The 24,585-nt window shown below is 36.9% G+C and overlaps 1 protein-coding gene across 5 annotated transcripts in view, besides 2 other annotated features; it reads left to right on the top strand.

The window, feature by feature from the left end:
• STAT4 (signal transducer and activator of transcription 4) overlaps positions 1–24,585 on the top strand; it is a 122,021-nt gene that overhangs the window by 1,677 nt on the left and 95,759 nt on the right. For all 5 annotated transcript variants that reach the window (NM_001243835.2, XM_047445604.1, XM_047445603.1 and 2 more), the window contains 2 exons: positions 1,716–1,844; positions 3,163–3,307. In NM_001243835.2, the coding sequence (NP_001230764.1) occupies positions 1,717–1,844; positions 3,163–3,307 (273 nt within the window). In that variant the 5' untranslated portion in view covers position 1,716. The remainder of the gene's footprint in view (positions 1–1,715; positions 1,845–3,162; positions 3,308–24,585) is intronic.
• Positions 15,612–16,112: an enhancer, noted in NCBI's record as "H3K27ac hESC enhancer chr2:191998534-191999034 (GRCh37/hg19 assembly coordinates)". NCBI's record gives its function as "activates a minimal SCP1, AML or CMV promoter by ChIP-STARR-seq in primed H9 embryonic stem cells {active_cell/tissue: H9 hESC(primed)}" and the evidence as "EXISTENCE:reporter gene assay evidence [ECO:0000049][PMID:30033119]".
• Positions 21,473–21,632: a silencer, noted in NCBI's record as "silent region_12193". NCBI's record gives its function as "represses an Ori minimal core promoter by ATAC-STARR-seq in GM12878 lymphoblastoid cells {active_cell/tissue: GM12878}" and the evidence as "EXISTENCE:reporter gene assay evidence [ECO:0000049][PMID:35858748]".

Raw genomic sequence — 24,585 nt, 5'->3', positions numbered from 1 at the left:
ACTTATTCCTCCCATCTACCTGTAAGTTTTAGTTAGAAAATAGATTTTTCATCCAAATCATAGCGGGGGTTTAACAATAGTATGATGAAAAACTGTAATGCTATTTTCAACTCATGTTCTCTGTTGTCATTAACTAAAATAAATTGATAGATAGGACAATGTTGATAGTAGCATGAGAACAAATGTTCCAATTTTGTGTGGAATATATACACATCCGATGGAATATATATACATCCGATATCTGGAAAAACAAATGGTTCAGACTCAGGAAACCTCAGGTTGTCCCTTAGAAGCCTCACACATTAGGCAGGCGTCATTTCGCCTATTTGATCTTCAAGTTTTTCCTTTTTAAAGTTGACATACTACTTATATCCACCTACCATATTCATAGCAATGTCAGGAGTGCCACTCATTCTTCATTTAACAAGCATTGATTGAGCATTTACAATATGCCTAGAATTGTAAAGTGTAAAGGTTTTCATAAATATAAAATGATATGCAAATAAAACATTACTTCTTTTCCCACTTGCTTTCTCTTTAGCAAAACATTGGCAACACGTTTTTTTATAAATTTTAAGTCATTTACCAGGAGCTCAGGGAAAAGGTGCTCAAAATGATTCTACTTAAAACCCAAAGAATATGTATATGAAATATATGAAATTACCCTGGTGTTCTATAGGCAAAAGGAAACCTTAGCCTATCTATGAGATATGTTGAAATGTTATGGTGATTAATCATGTAAAAGGGGGTTTGGTGTTTTTACTTGACTTAGAATTGCTGAGAAAACAACCAAAAATTTGACTTTGGAAAACATAAAATGCTGTAATTTCAAGGAGGCAGCGTCATACTAATTTTCCTGAGTTAGGAAATATGTCTACAGCTTCTAAATTGGCCAGAGTGGGGTTACAAGGGGGAAATGCGTACTTTTCTTTTATGACAGGCTGCCAAATAGGTATCAAGTGTGGTTTCTTACTCCTTAAGTAACTTGAGGGTTTAACCACTATCAGATGTTTCTCAGAGACAAAAAGACTACATCCTTTAAGAGCTTTGCCCATCTATAATGGATCCTCACAGAGAGAAATGAAACACATTCACTGGTTCAGAAATATTTTTAATTTAAAAAACTGGAGCCTACGAAAATGCATACATAAAATTCTTCATGAAGCTAAGACAAAATTGGACTAGAAGTCAAGAACATAAAGCTGACTCTAGAAGCCAGACAAATCTGAAATAAAGAAAAAAGAAATTTGGCAATTTCATATAAAAGAAGCTTCTTGGGGGGTTGTTCCTCACATATAAAGTCTTAGAGGGTTTTAGGAGGTATAGTAAATGTCAAATACGTTTGCCTTCAAGTTGCTCCAAGTCTAAATGTTGAGGGGACAAGAGATAGGGAAAGAGCTTGTTGATAATAGAAATTCACATAGACAGCTGTGGGCAGGATGTGGGGTGTTTGGCAGAGTGGGAGTGAAAACTTTTTGGAGCAGGTAGAACAGGAGTTCATTTTAGAGCAAGGAAGGCTGTAGTTTAGGGGCACAGAAAGAAGGCTGCTCCCTTCATTAGGGTTGAATTATGAAAAAAAACCTTAGTGAAATTTTTGTATCCTTGGATATATTGGAATTCAGTCATAACATTGACTAATTCTAAGGAAAGAAGAAAATATGTACTAGGGCTATGAACAATATTTTAAAACTCTAATTCTACACCTTCTTTTATAGCATGTCTCAGTGGAATCAAGTCCAACAGTTAGAAATCAAGTTTTTGGAGCAGGTGGATCAATTCTATGATGACAACTTTCCCATGGAAATTCGGCATCTGTTGGCCCAATGGATTGAAAATCAAGACTGGTAGGATCAAACATATTTTCCCTAGAAGTTGATGCACAAATGTCTGATGCTCTATCCATGTGAATTTATTTTATGGTCCACTTTTTACTCAGTAGATGCATTCTTTTCAGGTAAAGAACTTTCTCAAGGATTTGAAAGCCTTCCCAAAGAAGGGGAATAATTGTCCTTTCTGGTTCCATTCATTGTAAATGAAAAGTTAATGGTTCCAGTGCTTCTTTTCTCTGTAAACAAAAACCCAAATAATTTTTCATGTATTAAAAAAAGAAGCAAATCAATTGATTGTCAGTTCTCTATCACAGACTCAATGTAAATCAATATTTTTTTCTCAGTAAGATTTATACTCTTCAAAGCTCTATTCACCTTATACCATTTAATTTTTTTCAGCCATCTTTTTTATTGTGGTAAAATACACATAACATAAAATTTACCATTGTTTTTGGTGTACTATTCAGTGGCATTACATATATTCACATTATTATGCAACCATCACCACCATCCATCTGCAGAACTTTTTCATCTTTCCAAACTGAAACTCTGTACTCTTTAAACAGTAACTCCCTAGTCCTCCACCCCCAACCCCTGGCAATCACCATTCTATTTTCTGTCTCTGTGAATTTGACTACTCTAGGTACTTTAGATAATTGGAATCACACAATATTTTTCCTTTTGTAACTGACTTATTTTGCTTAGTGTAATGTTTTCAAAATTCATTCATGTTTAACAGGTATCATATCAGAATTTTCTTCCTTTTTGAAGCTCAATAATATTCCATTGTTTGTATATATCACATTTTGTTTTATAAATGTATCTGTCAATGGACATTTGGGTTGTTCAAACATTTTGGCTATTGCTAATAACCCTGCTAGGAACATTGGTATGCAAATATCTGTTTGAGTCCCTGCTTTTAATTCTTTTGGGTATATATCCAGATGTGGAATTGCTGGGTCATATAGCAATTTTATGTTTAATATTTTGGGTAACTGTCATATAGTTTTCCACAGTGATTGACCATTTTACCTTCCCACCAGCATTGCACAATTTCTCTGTATCCTCACCAACACTCATTTTCTGTTTTTTCTTTTCCTTTTTATAATAGCCACCCTAATGGGTATGAAGTGGTATCTTACTCTGATTTTCACTTGAAATTCCCTAATGATTAGTGATGTTGAGCATCTCTTCATGTTAACAATTTAATTTTTTAAAACTTTTAAATGCTTATCACCATGTAATAGGTTTATTGTTTTAAAGTTAGTATGGTAAAAAAGTAGACATTTTACAAAGTTGTTTTCTGTTGTGTAATAATCCTTTTTTTTTTTAGGGAGGCAGCTTCTAACAATGAAACCATGGCAACGATTCTTCTTCAAAACTTGTTAATACAACTGGATGAACAGTTAGGTCGTGTTTCCAAAGAGAAAAACCTACTCTTGATACACAATCTAAAAAGAATTAGGAAGGTCCTTCAGGTAAGAATGCATTCTACTTTTCCAAAATATTTGGATATATGAGTCTTAAATTTAGTTAAAAATTAAATATGTACCCTTATATTATTTTCAAATGAAATTTAGGGGAAAATTGAGTTGTCTTACCACTTACAAATTTTGTGCTCAATTTTATTACCTAACATTTTTCATGAAATGTTGAAAATAAAATACACTAAAAGTATAGTGTATAAAATACATTACAAGTGTGTTGCATGTGGGACTTGCATGTATCTTGTTTACTAGCTATGATTCAGTTCAACAACACTGACCAGACCACAGTTTCACGGCTCTCCAGCAGCCCTCCCTTGCCTTTGTCTCTTAGGTAACAAGTTAGAGTTAGTATTGTTCTCATTCCTAAATGAGAGCATCATGAGTGAATGTATTCTTACAGATTTGGTTCAGATCTCACACTCCTTTAAAAGTGTTCTTTGGTACTCTCTGGTTCACCCAGGCAGAGCCCATCTCTGTGTGTTTCCTCAGCACCAGAACACATCGATACTGTGGCATTTAGTATATTCGACATTATTGCTATTTCTATGTGTTTGACTTCTCTCCCTATCATGAGTTCCTTGAGGCAAGGACTTTAGTGTTCAACTTTGAATTTCCAGCACCCAGCATAAGTCTGGACTTGTGGTAGATGTGCAATGTTTACTGATTAAGGGGTGAGTAAATCAAGTAAGTGAATCAGGGATCTAAAGAATTAAAAGCAGGCTAATATGGAGCTAAACCCAACAGTTCTAATGTAATAAACCCTGACCATGGACTGCTATAATATTTACTGAGTGCATACAACGTATTAAATAACAGAAAAAGTGCTTTGTGCCATTCTTCATGGAGACATTTTTAGAATCCAAAACCTACAATTAACACATTTTTAGAACATTTTAACTAGACTATAATAGAAATGTTCTTGACATTACATTTGTGAGAAGGACAAATATATTGTTTTTCCTATTGTTGTTTGGATTGCGCTGAGCTATCTTTGCCCTTGTAATCCCCTGTAAATCTGCAAGACACTTGACTAAAAACAGGACAATAGCATATTGCCGACAAAACAGGATTTTTGGCAGCATACAGCAATCTGTCTTTTATGGAGACAAATCATTTAATGGTGGCTTTATTAGCTTAGTGATCTAATCTATAAACCTAAAATGGGGATTGGCATGCCATGGCCCACAAGTCAAAAGGCCACTGCCCATTTTCATATGGCCCATGACTAAGAATGGTTTTTATATTTTTAAGTGATTGGAAAAGAATAAAAATAAAATAGATCATAAAATTTAAAATAATATTTCTGACACATTAAAATTATATGAAATTCCAATTTCTGTGTTTTATTGAAACACAGCCACACTCGTTGGTTTACATATTGTTTATGATTGCTTTTACACTACAATGGCAGAAGTTGTGATAGAGACAGCATGACCTATACAGCCTAAAATAAAAATATGTGTGTGTATTATATATGTGTGTATATATGTGTCTCATATTTACATATGATATATATGTATATCACATTTATCTGGCCTTTTATAGGAAAGTTTGCTAACTCTTAGCCTACTAGTAAAGAGTCCATAGGTCACTTTGCTAGATAAGCACAGATGGGGAAAATATTAATAGATGATGCATGGTCTTTGGAACCAAGAAGGTCTGGGTTAAAAATCTGACTCTCAAATGTGGCTTTGAGCAAATCACTTAATCTTCTGACCTGTATCTTTTAATGTAAACAAAGATAATTATTATCTACCTTTTGGAATTGTGAGGAAGTCTGGAGCTTTTCTTCTGGCAAGATGTAGGCATTCAATAAATGATTCTTATTGTTGGTAGGTAAAATAGCAGGATTTTCTCAGTGTAAATCAGGGGTAAGAAAACAACCCATCTTTTGTGGGCTGGAGGATAAGATTGTGAGGGAAGCTTCTCCTCTGGCCAGTTGTATCAGACGAACCTTGTTAAACCATCACTTCTATTTCACTACGCCACTGCTCAAAAACCTGCAGTTACCCCCAGTCACGCTTCAGCTCGAGCACAAACTCATCTGCATGTGTTAATTGGCCCTCTAGCATCTTTCCTCTTTAGACCTTTCCCAACAATCTTCCTTGAGCTCCTCCACATCCCTACCTCAGAAAAATAGATCTACTACTTGTTCCTGAACACGTCACACACACTCTTGAATGACTCAGCCTTGTCCATGACGGTCCTATGGCCAGGAATGCTCTTCCATCCCTCTTCCACCAGTCTAGTTCCCATCCATCCCTAAAGAATCTATGTAGGTTCCAGTGCAACAAGAAAACCTTCACCACATGCTTTAGTCTGTGTTCTCATCCTCCAGCCCTCCAGCAACAACTACAAGGTAAGCAGCATCTCCTTCTGTCCCTTTCATCTGTGTTGCATGTGTGTCAAACCAGGTCACAAGGTCCTTGAGGGTAAAAGGCTGATCTCCTTTTCTGACCCCCCTCCCTCACCCTCAGTACTCAATATGGTTCTAGTGCACACTAGGAATTCAAAAAACAATTTGGTGAATTAAGATATTTGAGTTGAAAAAAACACTTGCTCTTTCTTGTGCTTCCATATATATCAATTTATAAATTGTGCTTACTGGGCATTTGTATTAACAACACAGAAGCTAGTAGTAAAAATCATTGTCAGCTATGGTTTTACACCTAAACAAACCTGAGTTTTATGCTTCTTTTTAACCTACTATAATCCCATTAAGTTGTGTGTGTTTTTTGCGGGGAAGGGTGGTATGATGAGTCTTTTTTAAAAAATAAGATCCTCTCTTCCCCACAAAAAAGAAAAAAAAAATTCCCTATCAAAAGGCTGTTGACGCTGTGCTTATCTGGTTTAAATATTTTCATCCTCTGGGATTTTAAATACAAACCATGTTGACAATTACAGCAAAAAGGAGTAAACAATATGATACCTGGGGAACTAAGGGATGTATAAGGTAGATTTATTTTGGTTCTTTATAGAACAGCTGAGATCTCTAGTTTCAGTATTTTATTATTTATATTACACCTACTTCCAATAACAGTTTGGAATGGCTTGCTATAAAGGACAAAACAAAACCAGTTTCCCGATGGCAAATTCAAGAAGCTCCAAGGTGGAAGCAATAAACACCATCGTTCAGCAGCCCTTGGCCTATTTAAGGGGAGGCAGACTCACACCCAGGAGCAAGGGTTACTTGAATCCTGGCCCTGCCACTTGCAATGTGGCCCTGAGTAAGATATTCACACACTCTGGCCTCAGTTTCCTCAGCAGTGTAAGGGGCAATCACACTGGTACTTTCCTCACAGAAATGTTAGGAGTATGGAGATAATTGATTCTAAAACCTGCAGCAAGAACCATAGTCTTTTGCTAAAGGTTTGCTAAAAATAAATATCTGCCCCAGATAATTCAAGAATGCTTTGCTTTAAGAAAATTAATGGACCTTAAAAAAATTAGTGCAGTTTATTTTTAAGAGTAGTTTTAGGTTTACAGAAAAATTGAGCAGAAAGTGAAGTTCTCATATACTTCCTTCCCAGCTCCACATCCCAGTTTCACCTATTATTCATGTCTTGCATTGGTAGCATACATTTGTGACAGTTGACGAAATAATATTGATACATTATTATTAACTTACATTTCAAGACTACATTAAGATTCACTCCTTGTGTTGTATAATTTTATGGGTTTTGACAATGCATAATGTCATATATCTACCATTACAATATCATACTAGAGAGTTTCATGGCCCCTGAAAATCTCCTGTCCTCTCCAATATTCATCCTTCTCTCGCTTCCCACGGAGCCCCTGAACACTACCGATCTTTTCACTCTCTGGATTTTTCTCCCATGTGATAATTCTTTTTTTATTGATATACAATACTTTACATATTTATGGGGTACATGAAATATTTTATTCCATGCATAGAATGTGTAATGATTAAGTCAGGGTATTTGGATTATTCATCATCTTTGAATTTATCATTTCTATGTTGGAAACATTTCAAACCCATTCTTCTAGCTACTCTGAAATATACATTACATTGTTGTTAACTATATTAACCCTGCTATAGAATGTTAGAACTTAATCCTTCTATTTAACTGTATGTTTGTACCCATTAACCAGGCTCTTTTCATTTCCCTCCATCCACCCACCCTTCCCAGCCTCTGGTATCTATATTCTACTCTTTACCTCCATGAGATCCACTTCTTTAGCTCCCACATATGAGTGAGAACATGCGATATTTGTCTTTCTGTGCCTGGCTTATTTTATTTAACATAATGACATCTTGTACGATCCGTGTTGCTGCAAATGACATGATTTTATTCTTTTTATGGCCAAATAGTATTCTATTATATGTGTGTATGCATGTGTGTGTGTGTGTATATATATATATCTATTTTCTTTATTTTCTTTATCCATTCTTCCATCAATGGACACTTAGGTTGATTCCAAATCTTTGTTATTGTGAATAGTCCTGCAATAAACATGCAAGTGCAGGCATCTCTTTTATATTCTAATTTTTTTTCCTTTGGATAAATACCTAGTAGTGGGATTGCTGGAGCCTATAGTAGTTATATTTTTAGTTTTTTGAGACATTTCCATACTGGTTGTATTAATTTACATTCCTACCAACAGTGTACAGACTTCCTTTTTCTCTACATTGTCACCAGCATGTCATTTTTTGTCTTTTTAAAAATAGCCATTCTAGGCTGGGCGTGGTAGCTCACACCTGTAATTCCAGTACTGAGGTCAGGAGTTTGAGACCAGCCTGGCCATCATGGCAAAACCCTGTCTCTACTAACAATACAAAAATTAGCCAGATGTGATGATGCACGCCTGTAATCCCAGCTACTCAGGAGGCTGAGGCAGGAGAATCCCTTGAACCCGGGAGATGGAGGCTGCAGTGAGCCGAGATAGTGCCACTGCACTCCAGCCTGGACAACACAGCAAGACTCTGTCTCAAAAATATATATATATAATCATATATATATATATGTGTGTGTGTATATATACACATATATATGTATATGTATATATATCATATATGGTATATATAAAAATATATATATCATATATGTATATGTGATATACATATGTGTATGTATATATGTGATATACATATGTATATGTATGTATGTGATATACATATGTATATATGTGATATACATATGTATATGTATGTATGTGATATACATATGTATATGTATATATATGATATATATATACATGTATGTATAAAATAACCATTTTAACGGGGGTAAGATGATATCTTATTGTGGTTTCAATTTGCATTTTCCTGATTAGTGATGTTGAGCATTTTTTCTTATATCTGTTGACTATTTGTATGTCTTTTAAATTTTTAAATTCTTTTTATTTCAGTAGTTTTTGGGGTACAGGTGGTTTTTGGTTACATGGATAAGTTCTTTAGTGGTGACTTCTAAAATTTTAGTGCACCTGTCACCTGAGCAGTGTACACTGCACTCAATATGTAGTCTTTTATCCCTCACCCCCCGCTCCCAACCTTCCCCCACAAGTCCCCAAAGTCCGTTATATCACTCTTATGCCTTTGCATCCTCATAGCTTAGCTCCCACTTGTGAGAACATATGATATTTGGTTTTCCATTTATGAGTTACTTCACTTAGAATAATGCCCTCCAGTTTTATCCAGGTTGCTGCAAAAGACATTATTTCATTCCTTTTTATGGCTGAGTAGTATTCCATAGTGTATATATACCACATTTTCTTTATCTACTCATTGGTTGATGGACACTTAGGTTGGTTCCTTATCTTTGCAATTGTGAATTGTACTGCTATAAACATGGTTGTGCGTGTGTATTTTTTATATAATGATTTCTTTTCCTTTGGGTAGATACCCAGTAGTGGGATTGCTGGATTAAATAGCAGTTCTGCTTTTCTTTGAGGAATCTCCATACTGTTTTCCATGGTGGTTGTACTAGTTTACATTCCCATCAGCAGTCTAACAGTGTTCCCTTTTCACTACATCCATGCCAGCGTCTATTGGTTTTTGACTTTTTCATTATGGCCATTCTCGCAGGAGTAAGGTGGTATCTCATTGTGGTTTTTAATTTGTATTTTACTGACAATTAGTGATGTTGAGCATTTTTACATGTTTGTTGACTGTATATCTTCTTTTGAGAATTGTGTATTCAAGTCCTTTGCCCGCTTTTTGATGGGATTATTATTAGTTTTTTTGCTGATTTGTTTGAGTTCCTTGCAGATTATGGATATTAGTCCTTTGTCAGATACATAGCTTGCAAATATTTTCTCCCACGCTGTGGGTTGTCTGTTTACTTGGCTGATTATTTCTTTTGCTGTGCAGAAGCTTTTTAGTTAATTAGGTCCCATCTATTTATCTTTGTTTTTGTTGCATTTGCTTGTGGGGTCTTAGCCATGAATTCTTTGCCTAAGCCAATGCCTAGAAGTATTTTTCCAATGTTATGTTCTAGAATTTTTATGGCTTCAGGTCTTAGATTTAAATCTTTGATCCATGTTGAGTTGATTTTTGTATAGGCTGAGAAATCAGTTTCATTCTTCTACATGTGGCTTGCCAGTTTTCCCAGCCCATATATTGAATAGGGTGTCTTTTCCCTGATTTATATTTTTGCATGCTTTGTCGAAGATCAGTTGGCTGTAAATATTTGCCTTTGTTTCTGGGTTCTCTATTCTGTTCCATTTGTCTACCTGCCTACTTTTATGCCAGTACCATGCTGTTTTGGTAACTATAGCCTTCTAATATAATTTGAAGTTGGGTAATATGATGTCTCCAGATTTGTTCTTTTTGCTTAGTATTGCTTTGGCTATGCAGGTTGTTTTTTGGTTTCATATGAATTTTAGGATTGTTTTTTCTAAATCTATGAAGAATGATGATGGTATTTTGATGGAAATTGCATTGAATCTGTAGACTGATTTGGGCAGAGTGGTCATTTTCACAATATTGATTCTTCCCATTCATGAGCATGAAATGTGTTTCCATTTGTTCATGTTATATATGCTTTCTTTCAGCAGTATTTTGCAGTTTTCTTTGTAGAGATCTTTCACCCCCTTGGATAGGTATATTCCCAAGTATTTCTTTCTTTCTTTTTTGCAGCTATTGTAAAAGGGATTGAGTTATTGATTTGATTCTCAGCTTGGTCGTTGTTGGAGTATATCAGAGCTACTGATTTGCGTACATTGATTTCGTATCCTGAGAGTTTACTGAATTCCTTTATCAGAGTTAAGAGCTTCCTGGATGAGTCTTTAGAGTTTTCTAGGTATACGATTATATCATCAGCAAACAGTGACAATTTGACTTCTTCTTTTCCAATTTGGATGCCTTGTATTTCTTTCTCTTGTCGATTGCTCTGGCCAGGACTTCCAGTACTATGTTGATTAGAAGTGGGGAAAGTGGGCACTCTTGCCTTGTTCCAGCTCTCGGGGGGAATGCTTTCAACTCTTCCCCATTCAGTATAATGTTGGCTGTAGGTTTGTCATATATGGCTTTTATTATTTTAAGTTCGTTTTATGCCTATTTTGTTGAGGGTTTTTTATCATAAAGGGATGCTGGATTTTATCAAAGACTTTTTCTGCACCTATTGAGATGATCATATGGTTTTGTTTCTAATTCTGTTTATGTAATGTATCATATTTATTGACTTTGCGTGTGTTAAACTATCCCTGTATTCCTAATATAAACCCATTTGATCATGATGTATTATCTTTTTGATATGCTGTTGGATTTTGTTAGCTAGCATTTTGTTGAGGATTTTTGCATCTATGTTCATCAGAGCTATTGGTCCGGTAGTTTTCTTGTTATGCCCTTTCCTGGTTTTGGTATTAGGGTGATACTGGCTTCATGGAATGATTTAGAGAGAATTCCCTCTTTCACTATCTTTTGCAATAGTTTCAGTGGGACTGGTACCAATTCTTCTTTGAATGTCTGATAGAATTCAGCTGTGAATCCATCTGGTCCTGGACTTTTTTGGTTGGCAATTTTTTTTAAACTACTGATTCAATTTTGCTGCTTGCTATTGGTCTGTTCAGGGTTTCTGTTTCTTCCTGATTTAATTTAGGAGGGTTTTATATTTCCAGGAATTTATCTATCTCCTCTAGATTTCCTAGTTTGTGCACATAAAAGTGTTCATAATAGCCTTAGCTAATCTTTTGTATTTCTGCGGTATTGGCTGTAGTTTCATTTCTCGATGCGAAATGAAATCTTATTTGGATCTTCTCTCTTCTTTTTTTGGTTAATCTCACTAATGGTCTATCAATATTATCTTTTCAAATAACATGCTTTTTGTTTCATTTATCTTTTGTATTTTTTTGTTTTGATTTTATTTAGTTCTCTGATCTTTGTTATTTCTTGTGTTATGCTGGGTTTGGATTTAGTTTTTTTTGAGAAATGTCTATTCATATTTTTGCCCACTTTTTAATGGGATTATTTGGTTTTTACTGTTGAATAGTTTGAGTTCCTTTTATAGTCTGGATATTAGCCTTTTGTCAGATGAATAGTTTGCAAATATTTTCTCCCATTCAGCAGATTGTCTCTTCACTCTGCTGATTGTTTCCTTTGCTGTGCAGAAGCTTTTTAGTTTAATGTAGTTCTATTTATCTATTTTTGTTTTTGTTTTCTGTGCATTTGAGGTCATAAGCATAAAATCTTTGCCTAGACCAATGTCCTGAAGCATTTTCCTTATGTTATCTTGTAGCAGTTTATAATTTTAGGTGTTACATTTAAATCTTTAATCCATCTTGAGTTGATTTTTATATATGGTGAGAGATAGGGTCCAGTTCTATTCTTCGGTGTAGGGATATCCCACCACGATTTATTGAAGAGGATGTTTTTGCCCGAGTGTAGGTTCCTGGCACCTTTGTCAAAAATTAGTTGGCTGTAAATATGTGGATTTATTTCTGGGTTCTCTATTCTGTTCCATTGGTCTATGTGTCTGTTTTTATACCAGTAACATGCTGTTTTGGTTACTATAGTCTTATAATATACTTTGAAGTCAGGTAGTATGATGCTTCCAGCTTTGTTCTTTTTGCTCAGATTGCTTTGGCTCTTCAGGCTCTTTTTGGTACCATACAAATTTTTTTTCTATTTTACTATTTTGTTTTTTCTATTTCTGTGAAAAACGACATTGGTATTTTAATAGGGATTGCTTTGATTCTGTAGATTGCTTTGGGCAGTATGATCATTTTAATGATATTAATTCTTCCAATCCATGAACATAGAGATGTCTTTCCATTTGTTTGTGTCCTCTTCAATTTTTTTTCTTTTTTTTGAGATGGAGCCTTGTTTGTTGCCCAGGCTGGAGTGCCTTGGCACAATCTCAGCTCACTGCAACCTCTGCATTTCTCCTGCCTCAGCCTCCCGAGAAGAGTAGCTGGGACTACAGGCGTGTGCCACCATGCCTGGCTAATGTTTGTATTTTTACTAGAGACGGGGTTTCACCACGTTGGCCAGGTTGGTCTCAGACTCCTGACCTCAGGTGATCCGCCCACCTTGGCCTCCCAAAGTCCTGGGATTACAGACATGAGCCACACCGCACCTGGCCCTCTTCAATTTTTTTAATCAGTGTTTTGTAGTTTTCCTTGTAGAGATCTTTCACTTTCTTCGTTAAATTTATTCCCAAGTATTTTATTTTTTATAGGTATTATAAATGAGATTGTCTTCTTGATTTCTTTCTCAGCTAATTCATTTTCATTGTATGGAAATGCTACTGATTTTTGTATGTTAATTTTGTATCCTGCAACTTTACTGAACCTATTTATCAGACCTAGGAGATTTTTGGTGGACTCTTTAGGATTTTCTAGTATAAAATCATATCATCAGCAAAGAAGGACAAATTTTTCTTTTTTGATACAGAGTCTCACTCTGTCACCCAGACTAGATAGAGTTCAGTGGTGTGATCTTGGCCCACTGCAACCTGCGCCTCCCAGGTTCAAGCAATTCTCCTGCATCAGCCTCCTGAGTAGCTGGGATACAGGCACATGCCACCACACCCAGCTAATTTTTGTATTTTTAGCAGAGATGGGGTTTCACTGTGTTGACCAGGCTGGTCTCGAACTCCTGACCTCAAATGATCTGCCGGTCTTGGCCTCCCAAGGTGCTGGGATTACAAGCGTAAGCCACAGCTCCTGGCCAAGAAAGACAATTTGACATCCTCTTTTCCAGTTTGGGTGCCTTTTATGTCCTTCTCTGGCTTAATAGCTCTGGCTATGACTCCCAGCAATATGTTGAATAGGAGTAGTTGAAAAATGTTCATCCTTGTCTTGTTCCAGCTCTCAGAGCTCTCAGAGAAAAGACTTTCAGCTTTTTCTTATTCAGTATGATGTTAGCTGTAGGTTTGTCATGTATGGCCTTTTTATGTTGAAGTATATTCCTTCTATGCCTCATTTGTTGAGAGTTTTGGTCATGAAGGACATTGAATTTCACCAAATGCTTTTTCTATATCTATTGAGATGGTCATATGATTTTTGTTCTTCATTCTGCTGATGTGATTTATCATGTTTACTGATTTGCATATGTTGAACCATCCTTGCATCCCTGGGATAAATCCCACTTGATCACATTGGTTTTTTGTTTTTTGGTTTTTTTTTTTTTTTTTCTGAGATGCTGTTGGATTTGATTTGCTAGTATTTTGTTGACAAATTTTGCATCAGTATTCATCAGGGATATTGGCCTGTAGTTGTCTCTTTGTGTTGTGTCCTTGTCTGGTTTTGGTACCAGGGTAGTGCTGGCATAGAACGAGCTAGGGAGAATTTCTTCCTCTTCAATTTTTTGGAATAATTTGAGGAGAATTGGTGTTAGTTCTTCTATGAAAGTTTGATAGAATTTGGCAGTAAAGGTCAAGTGTGTTGGCACATGCCTGTAATCCCAGCACTTTGGGAAGCTGAGGCAGGTGACCACCTGAGGTCAGGAGTTTGAGACCAGTGCAGCCAACATGGTGAAACCCTGTCTCTACTAAAAATACAAAAAATTAGCTGGGCGTGGTGGTGATCACCTGTAGTCCCAGCTACTCATGAGGAGGAGAATCACTTGAGCCTGGGAGGCGGAGGTTGCAGTGAGCTGAGATCACGCCACTGCACTCCAGCCTGGGCGACAGAGTGAGACTCCATCTCAAACAAACAAACAAAAACAATAACAACAACAACAACAAAGAATTCGACAGTAAAGTCATCCAGTCCTGGACTTTGTCAGAAGACTTACTAATTCAATCTCCTTACTCATTATTAGTCTGTTCAGGTCTTTTTGGGCTTTTTTCCTGATTCAATCTTGCTAGGTTGCATGAGTCCAGGAATTTATCCATTTCTTCTAGGTTTTCCAGCTTGTTAGTGTATTTTTCATAATTGTCTCTGATGATCTTTTATATTTTCGTGATGTCAGTTGTAATGTCTCCTTTTTCATTTCTGATTTTATTTATTTGGGTCATCTCTCTTTTTTATGGTTAGTCTAGCAAGTTGTTTATTGATTTTATCTTTTCAAAACAACTAGTTTTTCATTTTGTTGATCCTTTGTATCTTTTTTTAGTCTCCATTTTATTCTGCTCTGATCTTTATTAATTCTTTCCTTCCACTAATTTCGGTTTTTTTTTCTTGCTTTTCTAGTTACTTGAGGTGCATGATTAGATTGTTTATTTGACTTTTTTATCTTTTTATGTAGGTGTTTATTTCTATGAACCTCCCTTTTAGCACTGCTTTTTCATAGATTTGGATATGTTGTTTCAATTTTCATTTGTTTCAAGGAATTTTTTTATTTCCTCAATTTCTTCCTTGATGCAATGATTATCCAGTAGCAGCATGTTTAATTTTCATGCATTTGTACAGTTTCCAAAGTGCCTTTTGTTGTTGATTTCTGGTTTTATTCTATTGTGGTCTAAGAAGATATCTGATATAATTTTGATTTTTAGAACAATTTTTGAGACTTGCCTTTTGTCCTATGATCTTGATTGGGTAGTATACTTTGGCTTTGATTCTGAGTGTGTACAGTAGTGTAGTCTCTGTGTAATTTCTTTGGCTATAAACAACATCAGTGGTGTCTATGATTTCCTTGATGGCTTAGGGTGCATTTGTTAGTGGAGGCTGTGTTGAAGTTTTTCTGGGGACTAGGACACCAGGTGGGCCAGTATTTAGGCCCCAGGGGTGGCAGCAGTGGGCTGACCATGTCTGTCCTTGGGACCCAGTGTGGAGTATGCTGGCACCAGTGTTAGCAAGTCCAGGTGGGCCAAATATTAAGCCTCTAGGTGGCTTTCGTAAGTGCTGGATATAGCAACAGTAGGCCAGGCAGGTGTGTGGGTTCTTGGACCCCCGGGCAGGCAGTATGGCATGGGCAATGGCAGTAGCAGTGATGGGACAACCATTTGCTCCCATGCAGGCTATGCTGATGTTGGAAGTAGTTGTGATGGGCTGGGAGGGCCAGTCCCCAGGCCTATAGGTAGCACATGTGGGTGGGTGCCAGCTGTGGTTGTAGCAGCAGGTTGGATTGGCCCAACCTTAGACTTTGGAAGGATTGCTCAGGTGTGAATGGTGGTAGACTGTGTTGTATGAGCCCCACTTTACAGTTTGCCTTTTCTAGACTGTCATGTAATTGGAATCATATAGGCCGTGGCCTTCTTAGACTGGCTTCTTTCACTTGGCAATATGTTTTTAAGGTTCCTTTGTGTCTTTGCATGGCTTAATAGCTCATTTCTTTTTGCTGCTGAATAATATTCTTTTGTACAGATGTACCCTAGTTTGTTTATTCATTTTTGGCTATTATGAATAAAGCTGCTACTAGCATTCATATGCGATTTTGTGTAGGAGTAAGTTTTCAACTCATTTGGATAAATATCTAGAAGCATGATTTCTGAATCATTATTATTGGACTTACTGTTGCAAAACCCTTTTCCTTATTCACCTTCCTTTTTGTCTTTCTCCCTCAGATAGAATGACTTAAGAAAAATAAAAATAGTGCATATTCATAATTTTTTAAAATTAAAGCAACACAAAAAGTGCAAAGAAGAAAGTATGAAAAAATAAAAAATCTATGGCCTGGAAATAAACATATTAATATTTGATAGGTGTCATTCCAGACATCCCCTTATACATGTATATATGCAGATGGAAGGTGGAATTACTACTGCTGCTCCCATCCCCTGCCCCCACCCACCCACACACACACCAGGAACACTCCATATCTCTTACCTTACATTATTTTCCTCCATAGCTTTTATAAACCTCTGACCTCCTCTATATTTACTTGCCTTTTTCTTGCCATTAGAAGACCATCTTCATAAAGGGAGGGATTTTGTTTGGTTTACTTCTATATCCCCAGTGCCTGGACAGTGTGCCTAGACACATACTAGGTGCTCAATAAGTGACTTATGAATAAATGAATACCTACATAGGAATATCGGATCAAAAAATGAAACCATATTATTAATATATATTTTAAAATAAAATTTTATTTTTATTTGAATTCAATTAAATATTATTTTAAAATATTAAATGTTTCCTTACCATAAGAAATATTTTTTCCCAAAAGAAATTCCACTCAAGTTAATTTTTAAAACTATGAAAACCGCCAGGCGCAGTGGCCCACGCCTGTAATCCCAGCACTTTGGGAGGCCGAGGTGGGCAGATCACGAGGTCAGGATATCGAGACCATCCTGGCTAACACGGTGAAACCCCGTCTCTACTAAAAATACAAAAAATTAGCCGGGCATGGTGGCGGGCGCCTGCAGTCTCAGCTACTTGGGAGGCTGAGGAAGGAGAATTGCGTGAACCCGGGAGGCGGAGCTTGCAGTGAGCCGAGATCACGCCACTGCACTCCAGCCTGGGCGACAGAGCGAGACTCCGTCTCCAAAAAAAAAAAAAAAAGAAAACCATTAAGAGATGATGAGATACAGAAACCACATATTTCACTTCTAGGCAGTTGTCTGTTCACTCCATGCTATTAAATATGAGGAGAAATTAACGTTCTTAAATTTGCTTCCACTTCTCGTTCCCATCCCCACCTGCCAATTTTCATCATTTATATTTTGTTAGTTACATTATCCTTGTTGTATCATGGCAATTCCACACATTTCTTTAATTTTGTGTATAGGTAGATTCAGTGCTCATCACCACTTCTTTCACCATTACTTCTCCATTCCTGAGGTTTCAAATTTTGCTTCATTCTGAATTGCCTAGATTTCATCAAGTAGTTTTTCAAGAAGCTCTCAATGATGCTGTAATCTTTGAGGACGTTCATGCTTAAGAATATCTGGTACTGTAAAGGACACCCTGACTTGCTATAAAGTTCTTGGTTTACTTTTTCTTTCTCTCAACTATTTGTAGACATTGCTCTATCAATACGGGAGAAGTATTAGGCCAACCTGCAGTTTTTGTTTGCAGTTAGGAGTGATGTTGAAGCTATTTTACAACCAAGACAGTATGAGCAATAACTAATCAGAAAAGATTAGGATCGAACAACTTACTAGCCCTACTGATGCATACCCACTGAATATAAGCTCTGCTTATAGTGAAAAGTCAAAGAGAACAGAAGGATTTAATGTGAAGAATGAAAGTCCCTCGTTTCTTAAGAAACGTTTCTCTTCAGTTATGTTCCAATTGTAATTTAGTGTGGAATGAATGGCGTGTTTCATGCTGTCTTCTCTTCAGGAATAGTTGTAAATCTAGATAACACACACCTCCACAAGTGTAGAGAATAAACAGACCTCTAATTTGCTTTAGTCCCCAGGGTTGGCTACAGCACAGCTGCCCTTGGATCGACATGGAGAAACCTGCATTCAAAGGTCCAAATCTTGTCCCTAGGACTTAGCTTCTTCACCTGGGACATTCAGATGATACTAATTGAGGAAACCAAGATACAGGAATTTAGTACCCATCTATTCCTTCTAATACAAAACATCGGAGAATTCTGGCTTTTGCAAACTGTTGTTGACATTTTATACCCAGATGTTACCATTACCTTTGAAGCCTCTTGTGCCTCCTCCCTGACACCACTCTGCTCTCTTTCCGCCTGGAGCAACCACTGACCCAAAATTTGCATTTGTCATTTTTTTTCTTTTTGTTGCCATTTTACCACATACATTTGCATCCCTAAACAATAAAGTGTCTAGGTTTGAAAGCTGCTAAATCCACGAGTGAGATCACACTATATTTATACTTCAGCAACTTGCTTTCTTCACTCAGCGTGGTTCCTGACATTCATCCATACAGATGTGCGTAGCAGTAGTTTATTCATTTTCATTGCTGCATAGTATACCATTGTGTGAATTATCACAATTTATTCATTCTACTGTTGATGGGCATTTGCGTTATTTCCTGTATTTCTTTGCTATTGCAAACAACGTTACTGTGAACATTCTTATGGTGTGTCCCTTGGGGCACATATGTAAGAAATTCTCTAGAATATATGCCTAGGAGTGGAATTGCTGAATCATGCACTATGTACATCTTTAATTATATTACATAATGCCAAATTGTTTTTTAAAAATGGTTATACCAATTTACACTTTCCTTATAGGGCTGGAGTTCTGGCTCAATATTCTCATCTACACTTGTTATGGTCATGGATCATACAATCTGGTGGTATATCTGCCTTATTTCCTCATTTTACTTTTTATTATTTTTCTAATTTTTTCTAACTTTACTCAGATACTTAATTTTCATCCTTTTTTAATAAATGCATTTAATTTTTGATATTTTTGAGAGGTGATTTTGTATGCTTTCATATGTAGTGCTCTCATTGTTCATATCTAAGTAATCCATTATTCCAGTTTTGAATTCTATTTCTGGCTAGATAAATTAAAAAACCATTCCACTATAAACACATAGAAATGCGATATAAATTATAACAGGCTTTTAAATGCACAGATAAGCTCACCACAAATTAAAAGAAATCACGGAAACAAAAATTAAGAAAAACCTGTAAAACAAAATTTAAGTAGGAGCTCACATGATGGCTTCCATGCATTCTTAGATTTTAGAAATACGGGTCCCCAGCATGATAAATTTAAAAAGCAAATGAACTGCAGGACACTAGAAAGAAAATATTCTAAAAGTAACAGAGGATAACAAATATATTATCTATTTAAAAAAGCGAGATAGGCCAAGCGCCGTGGCTCATGCCTGTAATCCCAGCACTTTGGGAGGCCGAGGCGGGCGGATCACGAGGTCAGGAGATCGAGACCATCCTGGCTTACATGGTGAAACCCTGTCTCTACTAAAAAATACAAAAAATTAGCTGGCGTGGTGGCAGGTGCCTGTAGTCCAAGCTACTTGGGAGGCTGAGGCAGGAGAATGGCGTGAACCCAGGAACCCTAGCTTGCAGTGAGCTGAGATTGTGCCACTGCACTCCAGCCTGGGCGGCAGGCCAAGATTCTGTCTCAAAAAAAAAAAAAAAAAAAAGGGAGATAGACTGAAAGCCAAAACAGTAACAAGTGAGGAGAGGGTAGAATAATTTCTTCACAGAACTTCAATACACTATCTATCAATATTCTATTCGCAGCTAATTCTATTAGCTAATTCTATTCCCAGTTATTATACAAGATTGAAACTTCACCTCAAAGATACCTTCAAGGAAGGAATTCCTAAATGAAATTAATTAGCACAGAAACTAAGCATACTTGGCAAAATTTCAAAAAGACCACTAAAACAAGTGGAAATAGACTACATAAGAAATTAAAAGCACGAAAATGTCAAAAAATCCAAATAATATATATTAAATTGACAAAACTCCTCAGTTATAAGACAAATTATGTTTTTTTGGTAAGAGTGCACCCAGAACATGAAGTAATAAAAGGGTGATGAGGTCAAAGAGATGAGCTGGGGCTGTCTCATAAAGAAACTTGTGGACCTGGATAAGAAATCTGAGACTTATTGTGTGGTGGGAAGCCACTGAGGAGTTTGAGCAAGGGAGTGACATGAACTGATTTTTGTCTTAAAAAGCTCATTCTGGCGGTTAAATGAACTGTTTTGAGTCAAGAAAGAAGTAAGGAGATGTGTTAGAAAATTCCATCGCCTTTTTTTTGGAAAGTGACATGTTAAAGTCTTTTTCTATTACCATGGATTTATCACCTCTCCTAATCTTCTTGGAGTTTTTGCTTTATGTGTTTTGATACAATGTTGTAAGCAGCCCAAGTAGAAGTTAACATCTTACTGGTGAATTGAAACTTTTTAAAAGAGACCTTTTCTTTTCTTTTTTCAGAGATGGGGTCTTGCTGTGTTGCCCAGGCTGGACTTGAACTCCTGGGCCCAAGTGATCCTCCCACCTCAGCCTCCCAAGTAGCTGGGACTTCAGGCATGCACCACCATGCCTGTGCATTGACATTTTTAAAAGTCCATCTAAAGCGTCCTCCTTTGACCCATTTACTATTTTTTATTTTAAAATTTCATTGCATGCTTTTATTTTTATTATCATTTACTAACTGGTAAATGAATTCATGTCTTCATTTTTACACTTTCTGTGTTTTTTTTACTGGGTATGCCTTTTGTAAATATCATGCAGCAAATTTTATTTAGTCAGCAAATATTTAAAGAGCACTCTCTATGTTATCAATCACATTTTAAGCATTAAGAAGACAAATGGAGGAAGTCATGAAGCTCACAGTCGAAAAAATTCACATTTAATTGCTTCTCAGCCTTTCAGTTAGGAGGTACTGTAAAAAGTTCATGCTTCCTATGTTTTGCTTTTTAAATTATGGGAACTTCTATGGCTATTCCTCAAAACGTAGTGTTAGGAAAGTAGAGGGAACAGGCCATCTTGTCTGATATTAGAAAAATAAAAAAATCTCTATCAATTAGAAAGCTCTGCTCAGCGTTTTGGTGTTAACTCTGTGGTTAGTAATCTCACTGCCTATACAGTATTTTTCACAAGCCAGGGTAATGACTATTAGTGAGAGTTTTAAACTCAGTGAGTGAGGGGGCATGGGTGTCACCTGCACCTCACATATTCTACTCTCTGAACCACCATGGCCTATTTCTTAGGGGTCATTTGGGTATGGCTGAACGAAAATATGTTAGAGCTGAAAGTACCTCAAAAATCAAGCCATAAGTGAGTTCCTTCTTGTTTAGTCTGTAAAAAATGTCTTTTCAGTTCTGAATATCCCACGAAGTGAGATTTTTAATGACAAGGTAAAGCATTAGAAACACATTTTGCAATACCAAAGAGGAAAGAAAAGTGGCTTGAAACGCGGAGCTGCTCTGAGTCTGTCAGATCCTCTCTTCTAACTCATGTTGCTTTCTCAGTTCCCTCCTCTTCCTTCCCCTCTATACACCACACACAAAGAGAAAAAAAGAGATGACCTCAACCTGAGACCTGAGAAGAATGTGTAGCCACTCTGTGTTAACTCTGAAGGAGTTCTCAATTGAGGGATCAATATTCATGCCATTTTGCCACACATGGGTAGCAGTCAATTCGTCAAGCACTCCACAGTTATTTCCCCAATTCCCCAACGCACACCCTCAAAATCTGTCTCCCTTTAAGATAATACCATGATGTCAATATCATAACACTCATATTTCGAAAGGTTAGTGCTGTTTAAGACGAAATGTGAATTAGTTGTCAAGACTTTGTTTGATGCCTAATATGGGATCATCAACAGAAGGTGGATGGTGTGCATCACAATTTGTGCATATCGCACTAAGTTGAAATCCAATATGATCAACGGAAGACTCCAACCACCTGAAATTTCATTCGTGAGTCATTTTGTGCATATCCCTCCAAGCCTTTATTTTATCCTAGGTTGATCTTCCTCTTGATTAAATCTTCTTTGACAATTTAGTACTCGAGTCCATGACGATTCATCCTTTCCCTGATTTTTTATTTTTGTAAAGTGGATGCCAGAGTATGGGGCTTCTTTATGCAATAATTACTTTGTGGATGATGAAACATCATTTTTATTCCAGTGACAGCTTGGATTTCTTAAAAGTAGGGCTCATATGATTTACTTTGGGGTACAATGGCTATCTACTCCAGATATTTGTTGACTGAATATTGATTACATCATATGGATGTTAACATCAGGATAGTGTTGACTGGCAAAGGCATAAAGTGAAGAGTGCTTAGATAAAATTCTTATGTTGAAAGAGTTTGCTACCTAGAATGGAGACAAAGTGAAAATGAATATTTATGATGTAGTGTGGTAAGCACCGTGGTAGAGGCATATGCAATCATAATTCACAGTTAGAAACACATGGGTTGGTTATAAAAGCATAGTTCAGGACTCTCTGAAGAGGAGTAGAAGAAAAAGAGTATCTGGTACAGCAAGAGCAAGAACATGACAACATGAGATTTCCTATCTCACAAACAAGCGAGGCACTTTAAGCGAAGATCTTGAATGCCATGCTAAGCAGTTTGGACTTAATAGGGAACCATCAAAGGTTTCAATATGTTTTTATTGAAAAATATCCAGAGCTGATTTTCTCTCTAGGAAGACCCACCCCTTGTCTGCTGTAGGCAAAAGAATATTGGAGAATTCTGACACTGAGTTTTTTTGGTTTTTTTTTTCTCATTCTAACCTCTGTTCTCCCTCTCATCAAATCATCCAGAGACTGGATGGATTTTATTTTCCATAACACAAAAGTTAGCCTCCAGCCTGGTCAACATAAGGAGACCCCATCTCTACAAAAAAGATTAAAAAATTAGCTGGGCATGGTGGTGTGTGCCTGTAGACTCAGCTACGTGGGAGGGTGAGGTGGGAGGCTGACTTGAACCCAGAAGGCAGAGGCTGCAGTGACCCGTGATCATGCCACTGTACTCCAGCCTGGATGACAGAGCCAGAATGTCAAACAAACAAACAAGATTAGCTGTAATATACCAAGGTGAGGGGAAACTATTTCATGTGATGAAAAGTCAAGTCCAAGACCCATGTCATCCTGGGTACTTACAGAAGAAACCCACCCAATCTGTCCAGGAGCTGACATGGAAACCCCAGCATGTGAATCTGCTGGCCTGACAGCTGTAACAGAAGCTTGCAGAGAAGCTGCCAACCCAGAGGGCAGTCTGTGGCCAGGAAAAAAAAATGAGATTTCTACAGCCTCTAGTGTGACAACTAACCGTACCACTGAGGAAGTGGGTGGGGAGATACAGATGCTGGTAGAGAAAGACGACATGAAGGTGTTCACAGTCAGCTGTTGATTTTCACTATCTATTGCTTCATTGGCTAGGAGCATCATGGTGGTTGTTAAGCAAAATTTGGGCAGATAATCACATAAAAAGTAGGATAATTGTGTCTTTCAACTAAGTTTTTAGAAAATGTTTATTTGTCCCCATTTCATGGAGATGAAGACCTATAAGAAAGCCATCTACACTGTTCTAAACCCATTGTGATTTGGAAACTTTCAAAGAGATACTTAATCAAAACCGAGACAGCTCACAAGACTTTTTACCTTAAATAGGCCTCTAACATATTTTAATATAAATTTTGTTAAAGTAGGTTTAATAAGCAAAAGCATAAAAATGGGAGCAAAAATAAATAGATCTGCTTGAAAACAAGTTTGTCAGTATAATCCAAATCAGTTCAAAATTAATTTATGTTTAGCTTTAAAATTGTGACTGAAGGGAGCAACGGTCAAGCAGATATCTAAACTTAGTAGATCTCTAAATTTAATTTGTAGGCATTGAACAGCTTCCTTTAATGGGTCCAAACAAATAACTTCAAATGTATCCATTTTAATTTACCAACAAGAAGTTCATGACTCAGGGAGGATGTTGGTTTTTTCATCAAGTCACCAGGCACCCTCTGACCTTTCATTACTGCCTTTCCTAGAGATGACCTGGGGACAAAAGATTTGCTCAACTTAAATCTAACTCTCCCCGCACTCCCTTTCAATAATGAGGATCCAGGCCCGGCATGGTGACTCATGTCTGTAATCTCAGCACTTTGGGAGGCTGAGGTGGGAGGATTGCTTGAGGCCAGGAGTTCAAGACCAGACTGGGCAACATAGTGAGACCCTATCTCTACAAAAAATTAGTTGGGCATGGTAGCGTGCGTACACCTGTAGTACTACCTACTTGGGTGGCTGAGGTGGTAGGATAACTTAAGCCCTGGAGTTTGAGGTTACAGCAAGTTACGATTGCACCACTGCACTCCAGCCTGGGTGACAGAGCAAGGCCCTGTCTCAATAATAATAATAATAATAATAATAATAAATAATGAGGATCCACAGCCAATGGCTCAGTAGATAGTCAATTTCCAGTTGTCTATTACCATATGCTCTGATTGGCTACTTCTGTCAAGAACATAGTGATCTCACCTCCAGTGGGCTTTTAAGTGCACAATGAGGTGTAAAGT

This window comes from Homo sapiens, chromosome 2 (genome assembly GCF_000001405.40).
Source record: "Homo sapiens chromosome 2, GRCh38.p14 Primary Assembly".
Classification (NCBI taxonomy): domain Eukaryota; kingdom Metazoa; phylum Chordata; class Mammalia; order Primates; family Hominidae; genus Homo; species Homo sapiens.
The sequence above is the reverse complement of the archived record's forward strand: the minus strand, read 5'-3'. Positions and strand labels throughout refer to the sequence as shown.